The sequence below is a fragment of the Homo sapiens genome, chromosome 13 (genome assembly GCF_000001405.40).
Source record: "Homo sapiens chromosome 13, GRCh38.p14 Primary Assembly".
Classification (NCBI taxonomy): Eukaryota; Metazoa; Chordata; class Mammalia; order Primates; family Hominidae; genus Homo; species Homo sapiens.
The window spans coordinates 70,158,300-70,175,628 of record NC_000013.11 but is presented as its reverse complement, the minus strand read 5'-3'; the positions used below and the strand labels follow the sequence as shown (position 1 = coordinate 70,175,628).

The 17,329-nt window shown below is 34.3% G+C and overlaps 1 non-coding gene across 4 annotated transcripts in view; it reads right to left on the bottom strand.

The window, feature by feature from the left end:
* Positions 1 to 3,890: 3,890 nt before the first annotated feature.
* Positions 3,891 to 17,329, bottom strand: part of ATXN8OS (ATXN8 opposite strand lncRNA) — a 64,318-nt gene continuing 50,879 nt past the window's right edge. The window contains exons 6-8 of one of the 4 annotated variants that reach the window (NR_185837.1): positions 16,381 to 16,409; positions 15,134 to 15,245; positions 10,388 to 11,267 (exon numbers count right to left, since the gene is read on the bottom strand). This is a non-coding gene — a non-coding RNA (ATXN8 opposite strand lncRNA). Of the gene's footprint in view, positions 5,877 to 10,387; positions 11,272 to 13,207; positions 13,292 to 15,133; positions 15,246 to 16,380; positions 16,410 to 17,329 lie in introns of those variants that run through there. The other 3 variants (NR_185835.1, NR_185836.1, NR_185834.1) reach the window with 3 other exon arrangements.

Sequence of the window (17,329 nt, the reverse complement as noted above, 5' to 3'; positions counted from 1 at the left end):
TGAACATAAAGACCTCTCTAAACTGCCCTCATCTCACCATCTATGATAATACCTTCCTAATGTCAATTTTCTTCATCTTTCACAGGGACTCTTGAACTAATTATATAACTTCTTTTTCTGTCTCCCATCTTTTTTTCCATAGGCCATTATTGTTATTGTACATCCTTATATGTGTTACCTATATGTGATTATTTCATCCTATACTCCTATACTTTCATCCTTCCTGTACTTTCATCCTTCAATGATTTCTCATCTTTATAATAATTTTAAACTTTTTAGGTTATCTACTTCCAAACTAGATTCACTTCTCCTAACTCTGTAGGACACCACATCCTACAGTAATGTCAAAATAATTTGTAGTTTTTACACCTAGCATGTTTAAAACTTTCTCTTCCCAGTATGCTCTTTTTTCTGTGTCTACCTGACAAACTTATTTTTTTCAATTCATTGAAGTTCTAAGGTTCAAAACAAAGGGACTTAATTAAACTGACTCCATTTACTCTGTTGGGAGTTTCACCTCCTCTAAGACCAGCACCTTTTCTCCAAGCAGACACAATTAATCACCAACTTATCCGCAATATGTGTGAACATTATATATATAGTTTAAATACTTCACTTATACTGAGCAATAATCTTAGGATGCAACTTTATCTTTTTGTTTGTTTGTTTGTTTGTTTTGAGACTGAGTCTCGCTCTGTCGCCCAGGCTGGAGTGCAGTGGCGCGATCTTGGCTCACTGCAAGCTCCGCATCCCGGGTTCATGCCATTCTCCTGCCTCAGCCTCCCAAGTAGCTGGGACTACAGGCGCCAGCCACCACCCCCGGCTAATTTTTTAATATTTTTTGTAGAGACGGGGTTTCACTGTGTTAGCCAGGATGGTCTCGATTTCCTGACCTCGTGATCCGCCCGCCTCGGCCTCCCATAGTGCTGGGATTACAGGCGTGAGCCACCGCGCTCAGAGACTGTATCTTTTTTAGACTAGTTTTTCGAAGTAAAGAATTGTGGATTGTTTACTTTTGTAAATCTAGTGCCTTACACAGTGGCTGCCATAAGTAGAAGTGAATTCTTTGTAAATCAAATCTAGCAATAAATGAGTGAAACTAACATAGACAACTATTTAAAGGTCTCTTTTAAAATCATTGAACAATCTCTTACCCCAAACTTGTTTGATTCTGTTTCAGAGCATCTACTTTTGTCATGTGGTTTGTTTCAATGGTTGATTGGTTTTTTTCTCATGTGGTTTGACCAATATTGTCTTCTTGTATTAAGGATATAGAGACTTCTCAATTTCCACAGTTCACACATTAAAATGCAGAAATGTCATCAGCCAAATTTTTCTAGTTCTGGCAATTATTGTTTTCCAATTCAGTACTGCTCAGATAAATTGGTAATTTAAAATCTTAGATATGAATCTCATAGCCAATTCATGCTCTAAAAATTACCTGTACAACTGCTTTCACTGCTGAGCAATATAGGAAATGACTGATTTCTAGGCAGAAAGAAATCTATTAAGATTTCCTCTACTACAATTTTGAAAAAAAGTCCTCAGTCATTCCCTCAGCTGCACAATGAAGTGCCCTACTGTATCCTAACCCTCATTTCAACACAGCCTGCTGGATTCTACTAACTAATACACAGGTAACCCATAGCAGATGAGATACAGACAGGAAATTAGAAACTATGCCAAATATTTTAACTGAAAAATTAATATAAGAAATTAAGCAGTAATTGAAGGACAGAAAGGCAGAGGGTAAAACAGAGGCCTAATAGAAATGACATTTATGGGAAGCAGCTACTGCCTCTAGGGTTTTGTGATGAAAGAGCAGAGGTTGGTGTATGTAAGAACCGAGAAGCTTAGAAAAGGGCCTCCAGAAGGGGGCTCAGACTTCTGATAATAAGGCATTACCTACCTAGGGCATGTGTGTTAGGAATCAAAGCAGGACTACTGATCTGGAGTTCTAACATTGGAGAAGGGGGCAGTGCCTTGCTGTTGTCTCTGATGGCACCAATGAAGCTGGTTCCAAGATAGCAGAAAATACATTGGAGAATAGGCCAGCTGCTTCTGGTGGGGTAAATAATTTTCATTACGATGATGCTGTCAGAACAGTTAATAAACACAAAAGGAATGAGTTCTTTCCCTCTCCTCTTCACTTCCAGGCTCTCTCTGGTGATATATATGTTTGGCCAAAATCCAACAGGGAATGATCTACCAAAGGAGAAATGTGGTTTGCAAAATCTCAGTCCTGGTACAATGAAGTGGAGGCTGAAAGCAGGGATTTGGAACTGAGACAAAAGCTGAATATCCAACACAAAAAACTCTTAGAGGCCTCTATCACTAATTTGATGGCCTGATGTGCATATCAAGTGACAGTTAAATTTAAATTTCAAACATGATTAGGTCCCCTAAACACAGGTTTCATTCTGTGATGTCAGCAGTATCCAGAGTGCTGTCAATCTACAGGTATTAATAACAAGTATGACTGATGCATATTCCTGGTTAATTATTTGTCACTCAGAGAGGCAAAGGCAAATTCTTTGGAATATTTTCATTGGTAAGCATTCAGTAATGTTACCTATTTTGTTTTCCCTCTTTCAAAGAGATACAATTGGCCTAAATGTTTCACAGACTGCTTTAGACTAAATCAATTATGAATTAAATTATTTCCATCACCATGTTCCTCTATATGTGGACAAATACCTAACCAGATGAATTTTATGACTTAGATGAGTACACTCTTGCCCTATCATAAAAGCTGCATGAGTGCATGTTCTATAACTGCACTTATCTGCAATTGACCTGCCCACAATGTCTAACACAGTGGCCAGCCATGCAGTGGGCCCTCACTGTATTTTTTTTGACTAAGTAGGTGCCATTTATTTTTTAAAATATCACCTTGAGAGACTTATTTAATAATTTCAGTGAATAGAATATCAGAATTTTTTTTCAAAATGTCAGTGAGTAGAAAGTGTTAAACTTATTTCTAAAGTTTCTATCATGCAGAAACCTATGCCTTTTAAGCCTCTGACTTCACAAGACAGGCAAATTTTATTTAATGCCTAATTATACAATGTAAATTCAATATGTATGTTTTAATGTTGATTAAAAAGCCTGGTATTTTTAAGTTTCTGTATTTTCATTAAGGAGAATAAAAGCTGCAGGCTGATCTGTTTCTTTCAATCATTCAGTTTCTCATTAAAATACACTTAAAATGTGTCATAAATCACAATCCTCTCTGTGGTCAAACAGAGTACAGTGTGTTGAAGGTCTAAAATACTCTTCAAAAGCATCCACCTGAGATGTAGCACTGAAAATAAAAACATATGTATAAATGCATGCATATATGCATAAAATACATATATACATAAATGCATATATATACACATACGTATTACATATAGTCATATTAGCTTGGAAAATCTATTTACATAAAATATTTTGTAATTGCTTATATTGATAAAAATATTTAAACTAATTATGTAATGAATATAAGATATGCTATCTTATACTATATATTATACTTTATGTTTTATTATTTATATCACTTATATATTTCATATAAATCTGATTTGGTCGTATTGTAACCAATATTTACTAAGGGCTAACTACAGTGTACTCACGGTATAATATATGGAGAACACAAAGACAAATAAGACAGTATTTATCCTCGAGGAACTTGCTGCCTTTTAATTTTTATTTTTAAGTCATAGATCTCTCAATATTTACAGCATGTTACAAATATTTTCTTAGTGGAATGTTAATAATATAATAAATATTTAAAGGAATAATTACCATAATAATACTTTGAATTTCCATAAGATGGTATTTTTTTGAAATGCTGTTACATTCGTTTTTTCTATTTCTTATTTTCATCTATGCATCACTGCTAAGATGTAGAACATTTGCATATTATGTCTGTTTTACACATAAGAAAAAGTCAATGAAAGTTAATAAATAATATTATTTATATACAGTCATCGTTCACATCACAATGTTTCAGTCAACTACAAACTGCATATACCAGGGTAGTTCCCTAAGATTATGATGAAGCTGAAAAATTAGTGACATAGTCATGGTAATGTTGTAGCACAATGCATTCTGGTGTGTTTGTGGTGATGCTGACATAAACAAATGTACTGCACCACGAGTCTTATTAAAATGTACACAATTATCCTAGGCCATCACATCCATTCACCACTCATTCACTCAGTGACTCACCCAGAGCAATTTCCAGTCCTGCTAGCTCTATTCATGCTAAGTGCTATTAAATTAAGTTTAGCCTAAAGTTTCTTCCTTAAAGTTACGCCCAAAGGTTTCTCTGTACATAATGAACTGTAACCTAACTGGATGTGTAAATAGACTGTAATCTACTCTTGTGCCCATCTGGCTTCCACCAGCCAACTCTTCAAACTGTGTTGGAAGAAGGCAAATGCAAAGTTATAACCTAATCAGCAGTTTCTGTACCTCACTTCGATTTTCTCTATGTCACTTTCCTTTTTCTGTCCATAAATCAACCATACTCTACACCTATTCTGGTCCAGAGGCTGACTAGTTCTTTGCTCAATTAAACTCTGTTAAATTTAATTTGTATAAGGCTCTTCTTTTAACAGTGCCCTATACAGGTGTACCATTTTTTATCTTTTATATCATATTTTTACTGTACTTCCTCTATGTTTACATACGTTTAGATACACATACAGTCACCATTGTGTTAAATGTCCTGCAGTATTAAGCACAGTAACATGTTATACCGGTTTGTGGCCTGGAAGTAATAGGCTACACCACAAAGCATAGGTGTGTAGTAGGCTATTACTTGTAAGTAGATTCTGTGATGTTCCCACACTGACACAATCACCTAATAATGCATTTCTCAGAACATATCGTTGTCGTTAAATGATGCGTGACTGTATTGTATTCATTTTATATGTAAATAAATTTAAAAGTTGAATTTTAAAAATTGTTTTCACACTTATTATTTATTCGCATATCATAAAAACCTGCAGCTTTCTGGAATTTAAAACAAAAGCTTAGTTTGCTGTTTTCCCTTGAGATGGTTAGGTTGTCTAAAGTTTCCAAGTATAAAAGCCAATGTAAAACTTTGATTATTCTTTGACATTCCTTCAGGATCTAATTTATGTGTTTCCTTTTGTGATTCCCTGCTCCCAAAGCAGACTGCGTTGCCTACTCATCTGTGCTCCAGTGGCGAAATTCTTAATTCTGCCTTAGAAAATGTATTGCATATAAACACTTCCCAGATCTTCTCAGACATATGTTGAAGTTATTTTATTGGATATTAAAGGAATAAAGACCTTAAACCATTAAGGTTTTGAAGACACTTAGGTTACATTTCTCTATATAAACTCATTCATATGTTACGAATTCAGAATGGCATCTGAGATCCTAGATCCCATAATTTGGGTCTTCTTACTGAAGGATAAATGGCCAAAGAGGAAAAACAAAATATTCTGTTAATCTAGGCAAGCATGTGATAGCTCTGAATACAGGAATGTTCCAGTAAACTCTAATGGAACTAAGGCAGGACACCTGTAAAAATTACTTTGTGAGTGTAGTCGATGCTTTCTCTCGCTGTTCACAACCACAGTTTTAGCCAAGAGAACAAGGAAATGCCAATCCCAAGTACACCTCAGAGAGTAGCAGTAAAGGCATGAAAGAAAGTCAGGTTTGGGCAGAAGAAGCTGGCTCGCAATGCATTTGCAAGTAAGGATGCAATTGATTCCAGGAGGTGGTGTGGAGCTGGGATGGTTCTTCATATTTGTCCCAAATAGAGGCAAGGACCAGGACTTAATCTTCTCACATTAGCCAGCCAGTGACTGTAGGCAGATCTCTGGAAGGTGTTGTAACCTTGGGAAGACATTGTCCTATCACAGAAGGAAAGTTTTAGTGAGAGCCACAGGAGTATGCATTCAACAGATGATATCTTTATTAGGAGAGGGATGGATGTGTTGCCCCTCAAAGAGAGCTTTAAACAGATCATCAGTTTACTTATGACAATACTCTTTCAAAGATTAAATGTTTTCTGGCTGGGCGCCGTGGCTCACCCCTGTAATCACAACACTTTGGGAGGCCGAGCGGGTGGATCACGAGGTCAGCAGTTTGAGACCAGCCTGGCTAACATGGTGAAACCCCGTCTCTACAAAAAATACAAAAATTACTGGGGGCGGTGGCAGGAGCCTGTAATCCAAGCTATTAGGGAGGCTGAGGCAGGAGAATTGTTTGAACCCAGCAGGTGGAGGTTGCAGTGAGCCAAGATCGTGCCATTGCACTCCAGCCTGGGTGACATGGCAAGACTCAGTCTCAAAAAACAAACAAAAAGATTAAACGTTTTCTTCTATTTCTTCTGAGGTTTATTTCTAGGATGCTATTCTTTCGTTGCTACAAATAATGCAGCTATTTATTACCTTACACTTTCTAAAACATTTTTAATGTACAAAAACTGTTGATTTTGTCTATTAATTATGTAACAAGCCATTTACTGAATTTAAATTCCATTTTATTATCTTATGTATATGATAATCCATCTGCATTATCTAGTCTATCCCTGACTTAAAATAGCAATCTATTCATGGAAAAACAAAACTAGGTCTGTTCTCATCATTAGAAAAATAAGCATCAGTGACATTACTGGTTTACAATTTCTTCTATAGTTAACAAACAAAACAACCATGTGATAGTCAATGTAATTGAAACTATAATGCAAAAACATACAAAAGAACAGTGCAGACAAAATAAATCCATACTAACAAATAAAATGATGCATGGACTACTGCACATTCACAAAACATGGGTTTTCTGAAGGAAGACCTTAACACTATGGTGCCAACTCCTTGCCTGGATGAATGGTGAAAGAAAATATATATACAATGGGATATTACTGGGACATGAAAAGGAATAAAAGTTTGTCATTTGTAGCAACATGAATAGAACTAAAGGTTGTTATGTTAAGCGAAATAAGCCAGAAACAGAAAGACAAATGTCACATGTTCTCTCTCCTATTGGGAGCTAAAAAAAAAAAAAAAATGATGTCACAGAGATAGAGAGTAGAATGATAGTCACTAGAGGATGGGAAGGGTGCATATGCGTGGGGCGGGGCAGTGGCAGGGGATAAAGAGAAGTTGGTTCATGGTACAAACATACAGAAAGATAGAAGGAATAACTTCTAATGTTTGATAGCAGAGTAGGATAACTATAGTCAGCAACAACATATTGTATATTTCAAAATAGCTAGAAGAGAGGATTTGAAATGCTCCCAACACATTATATAAGTGATAAATGCTCCAGGTGATAGATAACCTGAATCCCCTGACTTGATCATTACATATTCTGTGCATGTAATAAAATTAGACATGTACCCCATAAAAATGTAGAAACATTAAGAGTCAATTTCATTATGTGTCCATTTATTTTTAAAGAAGGTAACTGCTGACTGCTTTCCTTTTTCTTGTTCTCAAGCCTTGGGAAATCCTAATCAGTTCAATCATGCAAAGAAGTGCCTCCCAGCAAAGAACAAAAAAAGTATATGGAAGGTAATTCTCTGTAATGCCCAATGCTTATAAGCCAAGTGGGCACATTAGAAGTCACATATGTTGGCCGGGCGCGGTGGCTCACGCCTGTAAGCCCAGCACTGTGGGAGACTGACGTGGGTGGATCACGATGTCAGGAGATTGAGATCACACGGTGAAACCCCGTCTCTATTAAAAATACAAAAAAATTAGTCAGGAGTGGCGGCACACGCCTGTAGTCCAAGCTACACGGGAGGCTGAGGTGGGAGAATGGCGTGAACCCAGGAGGCGGAGCTTGCAGTGAGCCGAGATCGCGCCACTGCACTCCAGCCTGGGCAACAGAGCGAGACTCTGTCTGTCTCAAAAAAAAAAAAAAAAAAAAAAAAAAGAAGTTACATATGTTGTGATAGTATTTTCGCTCTTTCTGAATTTTCTTTTTTTTTAAGTTATTATTATACTTTAAGTTTTAGGGTACATGTGCACAACGTGCAGGTTAGTTACATACGTATGCATGTGCATTGTTGGTGTGCTGCACCCATTAACTCTTCATTTAGCATTAGGTATATCTCCTAATGCTATCCTTCCTCCCTCCCCCCACACCACAACAGTCCCCAGAGTGTGATGTTCCCCTTCCTGTGTCCATGTGTTCTCATTGTTCAATTCCCACCTATGAGTGAGAACATGTGGTGTTTGGTTTTTTTTCCTTGCCATGGTTTGCTGAGAATGATGGTTTCCAGTTTCATCCATGTCCCTACAAAGGACATGAACTCATCATTTTTTATGGCTGCATAGTATTCCATGATGTATATGTGCCACATTTCTTAATCCAGTGTATCATTGTTAGACATTTGGTTCCAAGTCTTTGCTATTGTGAATAGTGACACAATAAACATACATGTGCATGTGTCTTTATAGCAGCATGATTTATAATCCTTTGGGTATATACCCAGTAATGGGATGGCTGGGTCAAATGGTATTTCCAGTTCTAGATCCCTGAGGAATTGCCACACTGACTTCCACAATGGTTGAACTAGTTTACAGTCCCACCAACAGTGTAAAAGTGTTCCTATTTCTCCACAACCTCTCCAGCACCTGTTGTTTCCTGACTTTTTAATGATTGCCATTCTAACTGGTGTGAGATGGTATCTCATTGTGGTTTTGATTTGCATTTCTCTGATGGCCAGTGATGATGAGCATTTTTTCATGTGTTTTTTGGCTGCATAAATGTCTTCTTTTGAGAAGTGTCTGTTTATATCCTTTGCCCACTTTTTGATGGGGTTGTTTTATTCTTGTAAATTTGTTTGAGTTCATTGTAGATTCTGGATATTAGCCCTTTGTCAGATGAGTAGGTTGGAAAAATTTTCTCCCATTGTGTAGGTTGCCTTTTCACTCTGATGGTAGTTTCTTTTGTTGTGCAGAAGCTCTTCAGTTTAATTAGATCCCATTTGTCAATTTTGGCTTTTGTTGCCATTGCTTTTGGTGTTTTAGACATGAATGAAGTCCTTGCCCATGCCTATGTCCTGAATGGTATTGCCTACGTTTTCTTCTAGGGTTTTTATGGTTTTAGGTCTAACATTTAAGTCTTTAATCCATCTTGAATTAATTTTTTTATAAGGTGTAAGGAAGGGATCCAGTTTCAGCTTTCTACATATGGCTAGCCAGTTTTCCCAGCACCATTTATTAAATAGGGAATCCTTTCCCCATTTCTTGTTTTTGTCAGGTTTGTCAAAGATCAGATGGTTGTAGATATGCGGATTATTTCTGAGGGTTCTGTTCTGTTCCATTGGTCTATATCTCTGTTTTGGTACCAGTACCATGCTGTTTTGGTTACTGTAGCCTTGTAGTATAGCTTGAAGTCAGGTAGCGTGATGCCTCCTGGTTTGTTCTTTTGGCCTAGGATTGACTTGGCAATGAGGGCTCTTTTTTGGTTCCATATGAACTACTATTTTAAATTTAGTTGAAAGGAATTGGTTGACAATAGTCAGCATCTTATCCTGATCCTTAATGAGATATTCATGTGCTTCATCATTAATTATGATGAGAGATTTTTCTCTATCTCACTCATTTTCTATTTATGCAAAGACATAAAGTTGAAATAGAGAATGAAATATATCAACAATCAAAGGAAAATGTGTTAAGGAAGTATTCTAATTTCTCATTTTGCTCTAAACTAATTGATGTGCTATTATTATTTTACTTTCTGTGCTGTTACTGCAGACACCATTATTCATTGTATTATTATTTTGTTGTTTAAATATTTTACTTGTAATTTTTCTCAAGGACTCTGGAGACTACAATCTATTTATATTTAAATATTTCCACATATCTTCCGTTATCTTCCAAGTTGAATGAAGTTTTGGTTAGAAAAAAATTTATGTAAATTTTCTTAAATTCTTAGAATTTGCTTCCCTGAGCTCTATCAGTGATTGCTGCTATGGATAGACCTTAATCTAGCCTGATATTTCTATTTTTAGTTTTTTTCCTCATATGTATGATTTCTGATTTGGATACGCAGATAATTATTCACTGATGAATCCTAACAAATTTTAAAAATTGATCTTGGCATAAATATATTTGAGTCATGTTTGCCGGAAGTCCAGTTGCCTGCTTTTAATATTTACATTCAAGTTTTTATTGAAATTATAGTATTCAATAAGTTTTTTAAAAATGTTTTTCTAGATTTATTTTTATTTATTCTTTTCTCTTCTTCAAAAATACTGATTATACAACTATGCAGGAATAACCTTTATCTCTTTCATGTGAATTATATGCTCTTGTCTCTTTCATTTTCATCACTATTTCTTCTCCTAGTCTAACATATCTATAACTATATTTAAGTTCTTATTAATGGAGTTCTCTTTCTTTTTTTGTTACTCTTCTATGCTCTTATTTCCACTCTTCCTCTTAAATTAACAATATGCTTTCGTTTTCCTGATAACTTTTGTTTTTCCTTGAATTTATTTTCTAAGGCTTGAAAGCTCAAAATTGATCTTACTAGTTTTGTGTAATTTCTTTCTTAAGCCACTGTAGATCTTTTTTGAAGCCTGTAAATCCAGAGGCCATATTGTAACTATATTCTTAGATTTCATGGGAAATACTTTTTATCAGAATGTTTACCTTTTAGAGTCCTTTAGAGTGTCACTTTTCTGATTTGGTAATATTTCTGTGATTTCTTATTCTTGTTATTATTTTCCTTTTTCCTATTTTCTGTGCAACATTTTTAGAAATTTTCCACAATTCTTTTATTTTCAGTTATTGCACATAGTTGAATATAGGAAGCTCATCATGGAGCAATCATTTTCTAGAAATACAGTGAGGAGGTAAGGCCAGAAGATGGATAAAGGGCTCCAGGCAACTTGAACAAAGGAAACTGGTGTTTCATTATAATGTCTTGCCAATTTTTCATTCCCAATCTTGCTTTTAGGCATTCTTGTGCAGGTTAATATCAATCCTGACACACTGAAAACATTCCAAAGCATATTTGTGATAAATTATTTGTATTTGTAACATTTTATCCTTCACTTATGCTCAGATGACAAAGATAGGTAGCTGCATGTGTCTTTCCTCTATATTCTCCTTCTATCCTGCCTTATATTTGTATATTTTTGTACAAAGATGAAATATCCTAATTTTTTAACTTTCAGAAGACAGGTTCAATTTCACTTGCAGAATACACATTTGTTGCAAATACAAAATTTTTATTTTCATCCTCACGGTGTCTTATCTGCTTGGTAGAACTCTGTGCTTTGCCTGCCTTGTAAAGAGAAAGAGGAGGAGAAGGAAGATGTAAAGAGGGGAGAGGGATAAAAAGAGTGAAAGAGAGGATTACTTTATTTGAAATTACATTTTAATATCATTTTTAATATCTTTCAAAAAAAAGGTAACCTTGGGAAACCTAAATTTTCAACTAGAGTTAGAATGGGAAAAAATGATAATGGTAATTGGGAAATAAGTGACAGAATAGTGCTTTGGTTATTATTATTAATATTATCCTGTTCCCAGGTTTTGGAAACAGGATAATAATAATAATAATAATAATAATAATAATAATAATAAGAATAAAAACTTCCAGCTTACAATTCTAGGAGAAAAAAAATAAAAACTGATTCAAGCACCCTACACATCCTCATTGAGCACATTTTTAGTGACGTACGTAAAATACCACTAAGTGGGGAAAAAAATCTGTCATATATTTATTCTATCAGGCAAAACATTAAAAAAAAAACCATGATTTCCCTTGAGTGTTAAAGTTCTAAAACAAGAAGAGTGGTGGACTGCAAGAGATAAAAAGTCAAAAGTTAAACTATTCAAAGATATTTCATTTAGAAAGCCAAATATTTTTGAAATTTATATAAATTTTAACCTAATAAGTTCAAAAAAAGTATATACTGATACATATTGTAAAAAATAGCCTCAAATCTCTACAAATTGAGATATTTGAGTGAAAGTTCTAGGTTTTAATGACTTTTTAAGCAACTCCATTTGCTTTGATTTATTTTAAAGAATAATAGCAAGCATTTTACATCTTCATTTTGTAAGTCCCTTTGAAATTACTATCAAATAATTTTAATATTTTGTAATTTGTTAGAATGTGATGTAAGTCTATCAAGGGTAGAGGAAGGAAAAGACCAGCAGGGAAACCTTGATGTTAATAAAGTTACAATACCTACTAAGTATGACATGGTGACAGTCTCATGGGGTGGACATATGGGAAAATGAAAGAAAATGCTATTCAAGGGAGATGATTTTGTGTAATAATTAAGATCCTGGACTTAGATGCCAGCCAATGTGGTTAGAATCTTTTCTCTTCCACACCAGCAGTGAGATCAACAAGGTACATAAATGTTCTGTCTCAATTTTCTCATCTGTAAATAGATGATAATGGTAATTGCTGCATAGGGCCAGTTGGATTATTAAATGAGCTAACTCTTAACATTATTTAGAAACATAACAGTTACATTGTAATTACTATCAGGATTTGTCATAATTACTATTATTGTTATTATAATTATTGATAGCACTAGTAATTTATAACCAAAGTTGTAAGAAGAAAATTAATTTTAAAATGGGAAAAAAAAGGGAGAGAATAGCAGAAAGTTGTGAAGACAGTGGTGTCACTGAGTCTTGAAGGCCTGTGGCCAACATCAACTTGCTATGATTCAAAGTATTGGGCTCAGACCTACAAGATAGAGGTTTGGGTAAAGTTGCCTTTAGTTCATGAAAAACTAAACAGAAAAGAAAATTAGTTTGCCAGATCTAAAAAATTAGTGTAATTTGCAGGCTACTGATTCAAAGATTCATGGAAGAGAAACAATAACTTAAATTCAGTTAATCAAAATAAGACTTAAGTGGTAGAAAAAGATTTTTTAAAATCTAATTATAGAGACAAAACATCAGAAGAGACTAAAAGAAAATCTCACTTGAGATTGTGAGGCCTAATATTTTGCCTAAGCCTTCCACAGTTTCTTATATCAAATCAAATTTAGGGTACAGGATCTGCAAAGACAGTTCTGTGAGTATGAACGAATCGATCAGCCCCAGCAGATCTACTCTCTCTCTTCCTCCCATTTTTCATCAGGAAACTAGCCTGCAACAACGTCCCTGCTTCTCTGGCTTCTGCTTGGGTTGCACAAACAGAAGAGCCTCAGAAGAATATTGAAGAAAAAGAGCAAGTGTGCTTATTCACTCACTTGGATTTCTCCCTGTGGGATTGGTTCAGGCTGCCTGTATCCCTCTAGGGGGTTTGTTCAGCTTCCTCTAAAGGTTCTTCAGTCCTAGGAGTGATGACAGAGCCCTACTGTTACTGGCCCTGAGGTGCTGAATTCTGCGTCTCAGGTTTCCTATACGTTGTCTGTTTATTTTTAACTGTCTTTAGTTTCAGTCTCATTGTGCCAGCTGATTCCTGTAAGACCCTAAGAAATGCAACGTCTTCAAATGTCAGGCTAGCGTATGTACTTATTAGAGGTTATACTCATAAATAAACACAATTTTAACTCAATGTGCACCCTCCATCTCTTCCTTTTTCTCCTTTATTCTCTTACCATCTCCCTTTCTTCTTTTCCTCTTTTTTCTTCTCCTTCTCTTACTCTACCTCTTCCATCTTTTAATTTATAGATGTTTTTAGAGAAATTTTAGTTTTACAGAAAAAGTAAGTTGAATGTATAGAATTTCTGTATTACCTTGTCTTCCATCCCCCTAGTTCTCCTTATTATTAAAAGCTCTCATCTGCATGGTACATTTGTAAAAATTGATGTCAATATTGAAACACTATTATTAATTAAATTCTATAACCTACATTAGGATTCATTGTTTGCATTGTACATCCTATGATTTTTTTTCATTTTTTTTCACTCAACAAATACTTATACCATAACTACAAGATGTTGGGTATTCAAAAGGCAGAAAATGAAACAGAGACCGCCTCTGGTTTCATGGAGCTTAAGTTCTCATGCAAGAATACAGAAAATAATCAAATAATTATTTAGTGTGTTAGGCAATGATATCTACTTTGGAGGAAAATAAAGCAGGGTTAAGGAACAAATTAGTGGGTTGGGTATTTTAGAAAGTAGTCAGAAAAAGTTGTTCTGAAAAAATGATGCTTAAGTACAGAAAGAAGGTGTAGAGCTAAGTGAGGAACTGTGGATCATATAGATTGCCTAGGAGAAGAGCATTCCAAAGAGAAAAACAAAAAAGCAAGTCCTGACATCTACTAACAAAAATAGATGCTTCCCTTTCTGCCTTTGTAGCTAAGGTGAAAAAAATTTATGTTAATCTGATGAATTACAAAAATCAGAATGCTTCCTGGAAACACAGTAAATGAGGCAAAATAGTAGAATACTTGGTGGTTTACTCTTTAGTATATTTGTTTTCTAACTATACTACTTTAAATGATGCTATATGGGAACACTCTGTATGACAGTGGGTAATTTTTCAGTTTAACCTTAGATTTTTTTTTTCAATTCAATCATTAAAAAAATTTAAATCTTGCAGTATTTAGTTTACTGGCTTACTTTAGAAGAATCCGATTTTAAGATAATTAAAGTTCATAGCAAGTAAATTCAGACATTTTCTAATAACAGTTATATTTAGAAATCTCAACTGTAGATTTGTCTCGATATGTCATAATAACATCTTAAACACATCTAAACTGCTTTAAATTGTGTCGGTCCACCTGAAAGTTAAGATTATTTCACTATGTGTTATAATTATTTTATATTGAATTCACTTAAATAGGTATATTTTGAATAAAGAGACATAAAATATAAATATATTTATATATATAAATATATATTTATATATATTTATAATAAATATATTTATAAATAAATATTTATATATTTACATATTATATAAATATAAAATTATATATAAAAATTATATAAATATATATATAATTCAGCTTTCTAGAATTCAGTTAAATCAGCTGTCTGGGGCATCTCTACCAAGAATATTTTGTTTTGTATAAACTTCTCTGATTTTATTATTATGATACTTACCAATTAAGACTATAAACATGCATAACTGTGTAAAACTGCATTTCCATATTGAAAATATGACAATTTATTAAGGCTGTAACAATATTTAAAACACTAAGAAACTTTATCCAAATTAATTACCGTTGAAAGAAATATGCTAACTTCATGCCGAACTAACTTCAGCCAGGAAAAGTGCTGTCACCAGACACTGCATCTGTGGGCACTTTGATCTTGGACTGCTTAGCTTCTGGAGCTGTGAGAAATACATTTCTGTTGATATAAGCCACTCGTATATTAGATTCTACACATTATAATGATAAACCAAAATTTATAAAATAATGCTCAATGTCATGAAACATTAGGGTAACAATGAGCTGCAAATACATACCTATTATAATTTGAAAAATATATAATATACAAATACAATATATGAAAATCCAATAAGTCAACAGACTGAGTGCTCACAAAAAGTCAACAAAAATGATACCTTCATTCATTTCTGGTGGGAATGAAAAATGGTACAGCCATTCTGGCATATTCTATTTTAAGTTAAATATGCAATTAACCATAAGACCCAGCAATCCCACTAATAGGTATCCACCCTAGATAAATAACATCTTATGTTCATGCAATAATCTGTACATGTGAATTTATAGCAGGTCTATTTATAATTGACTAAAATTAGAAACAACCCAAATGCACATCAATCGATGAATGGACAAACACACTGTACATACACATTCAATTTATTACTACTAAAAATGAATAAATTAACTATACATGCAATGTTGTGAATGAATTTCAAATGCATTATTCTGGATGAAAGAAGCCAGTGTTAGGTTATATACTGTATGATTCCATGTGATATTCTGGAAAAGGTAAAACTACAGGAAAGAAGAACAGGTTAGTTGTTGCCAAGAATTGAGATCAGGCAAAGTTTTGGCTACAACAAAGACAGCGCCATGGAATATCTTGGAATTATAGAATTGCTCTGTATTCTGATTGTGGTGGTGGTTATACAAATGTATACATATGCTAATGTCCCTGGAACCATACACCAATAAAGTAAATTGTATGGTATGCACGTGGGAATCCATAATAATCATAAAGTTCATGATAAACTAGGAATAAAAAAATTCAATTCGATAAAGAAAACCAAAAAGAATATCATATTCAATAGACAATTCATAAAAACATCCCCTGCTAATGAGACAAGAGTGTCTAGTAGTACTACTTCTGTAAAGCAGTATACTAAAGGTCCTCAACAGTATAGGAATTGGAAATAAATATATAAAACTTTTATTATTGCTCACTAGCAATAATAAAAAAGCATCTACAAAAAGCATGATTTTGTACATAGAAAATCTAGAATAACTACTGAATATTACCTCTAATATATGAATATAATTTAATTCTTCTATATGTGTAATAAAAAGTGAGAGAGAGAGAGAGAGAGAATGGAAGTGGTGGAGGGAAGGAGAGAAAATAAATTAATTAGTAATTAGTAAGGAGATCTAAAATACGTTGAACTATAGTATTATCTAGTAATGAGGAGATTTTAATCTTGAGAAAATGAAATGAATCATTATCCAGGATAAAGCATAAATATATATGATATACATGATAAAATACATGTAAATTCATAATAATTACAAAGTAAAATATTTGAATTTATATTTGAACTAATTTCTCCCTTTCATAAATTAAAGGCTTCGGCTCTTAAGAGCAGTCCTATAACACAGAGGTTGACAAACTATGGCCCATGAACTAAATCTGGCCCTCTGCCTATTTTACAGTCCATAGTAAAGGCTGGTTTTAATGTTTTTAAACGGTCAGGGCAAAAATCAAGAGATATTGCATGATATATGAAAAGTATATGATATTCAAAATCCAGTGCCCATAAATAATGTTATATCAGAGCACAACCGTGCTCATTTGTTTATATACTGTCTATGGCTTCTTTCATGCTAAACTGTAGTATTGAGTGTTTGAGACAGAGACTATACGGAATGCAATACCCAAAATATTTACTATCTGACCCTTTACAGAAAAGGTTTTCTGACCTGTGTTTTAGCACATAGTGCACTGAGAGAAGATAGCATTGCCATCTAGGCATATTGTTGAAAGGGACCGATGGAGGCAGCTGAAGGATTCTAATATTTTGTACTGTCCTATTACATATTTCTGCTCTTGTTATTTCTGTTGTTTGCTTGTTTGTTTGAGATGGAGTCTTGCCTGTCGCCCAGGCTGGAGTGCAGTGGCGTAATCTTGGCTCATTGCAAGCTCCGCCTCCCAGGTTCAAGCGATTCTCCTGCCTCAGCCTCCCAAGTAGCTGAG